The sequence below is a fragment of the Homo sapiens genome, chromosome 12, assembly GCF_000001405.40.
Source record: "Homo sapiens chromosome 12, GRCh38.p14 Primary Assembly".
Classification (NCBI taxonomy): domain Eukaryota; kingdom Metazoa; phylum Chordata; class Mammalia; order Primates; family Hominidae; genus Homo; species Homo sapiens.
Window position 1 is genome coordinate 133,063,300 of NC_000012.12, and position 5,337 is coordinate 133,068,636.

Here is a 5,337-nt window from a genome sequence, read left to right on the forward strand (position 1 = left end):
TCTGGCTCAAGTTGTGTTTGTTACAACCCAAATATTTCTAACAGAGGAAATCAGGCTATGTCGTAACTTGTTCTCTGGAAGTGGTTACTGAGAAGTTTGGGTGCAAGATGTCTACTGAGGATCAACAGCTGTGAAATGATTGAAGAAGAAGAAAGAAAACATTGAGCTGAGGAAGAAGTCAATTTGCACTGCATTGGAGCCAGCAGGGAACTCTGGAACATGTACTGCCCATTGGAGTGCCTCGTGTTGAACCAAGACGGCCAGGCCCTTACAACCCTGCATTGCTCACCCCATCACCCAGACTCAGGCTGCCCTGGGAAGGAAGCAGCCTTAGGTGAAGCAGCTCTTTTCTTCAGTGATGCTGCTGATTTCTTAGGTGAAGCAGCTCATTTCAGCTGAGGCCAGCTTCAAAAGTGGAGGTTCTCTGCTGATGACTCTCCCTGCCCTGGGTAAGTCCCTCCTTGAAGAGAGATCTGAGTCATAATGCATGTTTCTGATCACACAGTCCATCCTTCCCACCACTTAGATCCCCTTGTCTATGTTACATTTGGGAAGCTGCTGCTCTAGGATTCTGGTGGGGCTCTCTCTGAAGAGACACTAAGAAAAGGAAGATTCATAGGACAAACCACAGCCCCTAATGTTGCAGTTGCTTTCTGTATTAGTCACTGTAGATTCTCATCACACCCTGTTAGCACCTCTGTGGACATAAGTGGCTTATGTGGTAGCTTGTCCCAGACCCTTATTCCTGAGGGGGTCAGAGCCCTGGCCACCATGTCCTTTTCAGATCCAAGTTGCTGTATTTGTCCACTTACATCACAATGGGGCAAGGAAGTTCAAAGAGGCACCTAGGAGGGCCACCTGAGTTCCACTCCTTTTTTCTCCTGCCCTGTTGTGTAACAGCAGCCATACCTGCTGATGATCAGTGTCAATGCCCCAGCAAAGAGTGGCTTTTCTGGCATGCTGGTCCTTGGACACAAGGGTACAAAGTTCCATGCTGTATCTGTAGTTTATAATTTAGAACACTCTGTCCTCAGGTGGAAAGTGCCCCCTCTGGGGCTAATCCTTGATGTTTGACCTTTATACGGTGCTGTGTTTTCAAAGAGAAAGAACACATGGGTTTGGGTACTGCAGTGTGGAAGCAGGAAGATCACAGATGATCCTCTAGGGGGACCTTGTGCTTCCCATAACCACAGCTCTGAGGTTGAGAGAGTTAATATTGCTCTGGGAGCAAAACTAGTTATATCATTGTCCATTTTGTGTACATTGTTTTTCTTTCTTTTCTTTTTTTTTTTTTTTTTGAGGCAGAGTCTCACTCTGTCGCCCAGGCGGGAGTGTGGTGGCACGATCTCGGCTCACTGCAAGCTCCGCCTCCCAGGTTCACGCCATTCTCCTGCCTCAGCCTCCCGAGTAGCTGGGACTACAGGCACCTGCCACCATGCCCAGCTAATTTTTTGTATTTTTAGTACAGATGGGGTTTCACCATGTTAGCCAGGATGGTCTCGATCTCCTGACCTCGTGATCTGCCTGCCTCAGCCTCCCAAAGTGCTGGGATTACAGGCATGAGCCACTGTGCCCGGCCGTGTATGTTGTTCATTTCATTGCCCACATCATTTCACTTGATATGAATGCAAACATTTATGCTTTTTTCTGAATCGGGATATTAAAATGCATTTACTGGATCAGTGGCCATATACCATGTATCTGAGGCTGTATTAATCTCTTCTAGTGGAAATATCACATCTGGCCTAATGGCTGTGATCAGGACTACTACTTAGTTGAGCTTGAAGTTGAATTGCAGTTATGAGTAGTTTTTACTAGAGATATGATGGGAACCATCACTCCTAAATCTTTTATATCCTGAAGGGTGTCTCTAATCTCTACTATCCCCCCAGAGATTGTTCTTATTTACTATCTTGGGTGGATTGTAGTTTGAGGCTTCCACGTGGCCTTTCCTCATGCAATAGTTTTTTTTTCCTGCAAGCAAGGACCTAATAACCACTTGTGATACAGCAGATGTGAGCTGCTTTTTGTGCAGCCAAAGGCCCTCTAACTTTCACAACTGCAATCAATTGTCTATTACTTGTCCTCAACTGTTTGTTATCTTTATGTAGAGCATCAGTGGCTTTCAGCAGTAGCCACTGTATTAGTCCGTTCTCATACTGCTATAAAGAAATACCACAGACTGGGTAATTTATAAAGAAAAAGAGGTTTAATGAACTCACAGTTTCACATGGCTGGGAAGTCCTCACAATGAAGGAGGAGCAAAGACACGTCTTACATGGTGACAGGCAGGAGAGCGTGTACAGAGGAACTGCCCGTATAAAACCATCAGATCTCATGAGATTTATTCACTACCACAAGAACAGCATGGGAAAAACCCACCTCCATGATACAATTACCTTCCCCCAGGTCCCTCCCACGACACGGGGGGATGATGGGAGCTACAACTCAAGATAAGGTTTGGCTGGGGACACAGCCAAAACATATCAGCACCCAAACCTGTTATTTAATAATAATCTATCTCCTAAGTTCAAACATCTGTTACATAACACAGGTGCTTCCTCTTAATTTACTATTGGTGAACTATTTAATGATTGAACCACCTCCTTATGCCGGGGCCTCTTTGTGCTCCACCTGCCACAGTGGTGGGGTTTGTATGTCAGCTGGATAATGAGTAATCCAGTTCCAAAACTTTGGCCCATCCTTTGCTATTTTGGAGCACCTCAATAATGGTACAAGCTGCAATCTGTTGGGTTTTCTGAAAGTTGACTCTGAGATATACTTTGGAGGTATTCACTGTAGATCAGTATCTGTGAAAGGAAAGAGAAGGAAGTAGGATTAAGCAAAAGAAAAGGTTAAACTGCAATGCAGATCCTACAAAACTGCTCCCAACTTAGAATGGATCTCTGTAGTGAGTGTTGCCTGACAGGGCTCATGTGTCAGGCAAGCATGGTCTAGTCTATGTTCACACCTCTTTCAGTCACTGAATACAGCCTGACCTGGAAGGGAGGTGACTTTGGATGAAGCTCTTCTGCAGCAAAGGCTGACCATGAAGGGCTTGACAGGCGAGGGCTGTCTGCTAACTCCCCACACCTGTACTACAAGCCAGGATGGTCTCAATCTCCTGACCTTGTGATCCGCCCGCCTCGGCCTCCCAAAGTGCTGGGATTACAGGCGTGAGCCACCGCACCCGCCCCCTTCCGTACCTTTTAAGTGCCTGGGTCATCACACCAACCAGGTGTTTTTCTCCATTTGGACATTTTCCCAGGTAACTGCCAGTGAAATATGTAGCAGCTGGGCTGCCACGTTTGCCAGAGTCTCTCTGGAATGGGATATTTCTTGTCAGCTCAAAGTAAAATGCAAGCACAAATATTTACCACAGAGGAGTTCCACACTGAGCAGAAATGATGCCAGGCCATCCTATCCCCCATGGTGCTCACGCACTGGCTGGCAGCTGCCTGAAAAGGTCACAGTCTCAAATACTGTGCTAACTCCCAAAAGCAATGAATCCCTCCAGGAGAATGGGAAGTATTTTCTTGAAAGGTATTTGGAGTAATGCACCTGTAAGGATCCCACAATTGAAGGAAGAAAGGCCGGGTGGTGAGTCTTAATTGGCAGAAGCCAGGGATTCACATTTATTATAATAAATAGTAAGGTCAGTGTGACAGCCAAGAGGGTTTGATTCACAGGAACTTGTGAAGATGGTTAGTAAAACATAACTTCCCCAAGGATAAACTAGATAAGACAGGCAACCAGGAAATTTGTTAGTAAACATAGTCCAAGAAGATGAGAATGGGTGAGCAAGAGGCTAAGGGCAGTTGCCTCAGTAAAATGCCATGATCCTTGAACTTGAGCTAATATTCAGATCAGAAAGACACTAAAGAGGTAGGTGGGTCCCCAAGGGGAAAGACCCTATGACACCACGGCAAATATATACTGTGACGACACCTCCAGCCCTTCGTCAAAGACTGATGGGCACTTACTTGGTTCATTATACACTGGGTAAAGGGTAATATCCAGAGATTTTAAAGACTATTATACGCAAAGTCTGAGTTGATACTGATACCAGACTTTCATAGCATTATCATGCCTCCGCCAGCATGAGAGCGTATTTAGGCCTGGTCATACATTTAGGCTTACTGTGGGGCCAATGGTCCCAGTGACCCTGACCCATGCATTACTCATTTGCTTGGTCTTCGAATGTATAATTGGGATTGACATCCTTGGCAGTTGGAGTACTTTCTACATTGGACTATTGGTCTTTGGTTAAAAGCCACTATAGTGGGGAAGGCCAGGTGAAAACCTCTGAATCCCACCCAGAAGGTAAGATCATAAATTAAAAACAATATTGCATTTTGGGGAGAAGAGTTGGAGGGGGTGACAGAGATGAGTGCGACTCGTAAAGACCTAAAGAATGTGGTAGTAGTGCCCCTGGGATATTAACAAATCCTAGGGAATGACTACAGGTGAGCTCAGCCAAGTCCATGTCCCACTTGCAGACATGACATTGTTTCTAAGGCAGATTTAAGTGGCCTTGGGTATGTGGCAGTGGCCTTTGATTTGGAAAACCAATTCTTTTTATTCAATTCAGGAAAAAGGATCAGAAAATGTAGCATTAACATGAGACAGACAATACTGTGCATTCACAGTTTTACCCAGGGCTGTCAGCCATCATAATATAATCTGAATAGACTGAACATTTTATAGAACATCACAGTAATACACATGGCAGCAAAGTCATGTCAGTCAGGCAGGATAGGTAGGAAGTGGCCAGCAGGTTGGAGACACCACATGCATTCTAGAGGACTGGAGACAAACCGTATAAAAATCCAGCAAGTTACCACAAAAGATAGCATGTAAGTCACAGTTTTTCCACACTGCTTTATCAATTCTTGAGGACGTTTTTGTAGATTTTTTCCTACTAATTATATCTATTTATTGACATGAAATTACAGATATGTTCCTACTGATTTTAAAATCTCAGCTGGGCATGCTGGCTCATGCCTGTAATTCTAGCACTTTGGGAGGTCAAGGTGGGAGGATCGCTTGAGTCCAGGAGTTCGAGACCAGCCTGGGCAAAAAAACAAGTGAGACTCCATCTCTACAAAAAATTAAAAAAATTAGCCGGGTGTGGTTGTGCTTGCCTGTAGTCCCAGCTACCTGGGAGGCTGAGGCGGGAGGATTGCTTTAGCCTGAGAGTTTGAGGTTGCAGTGAGCCATGAACACACCACTGAACCTTAGTTGGGTGACAGAGTGAGACCCCATCTCAAAAAAAACCCCAAATTTGGAATCTCTTCTGTATTTGTAGTTATATTGCTTTTTTTCATTAATAATATT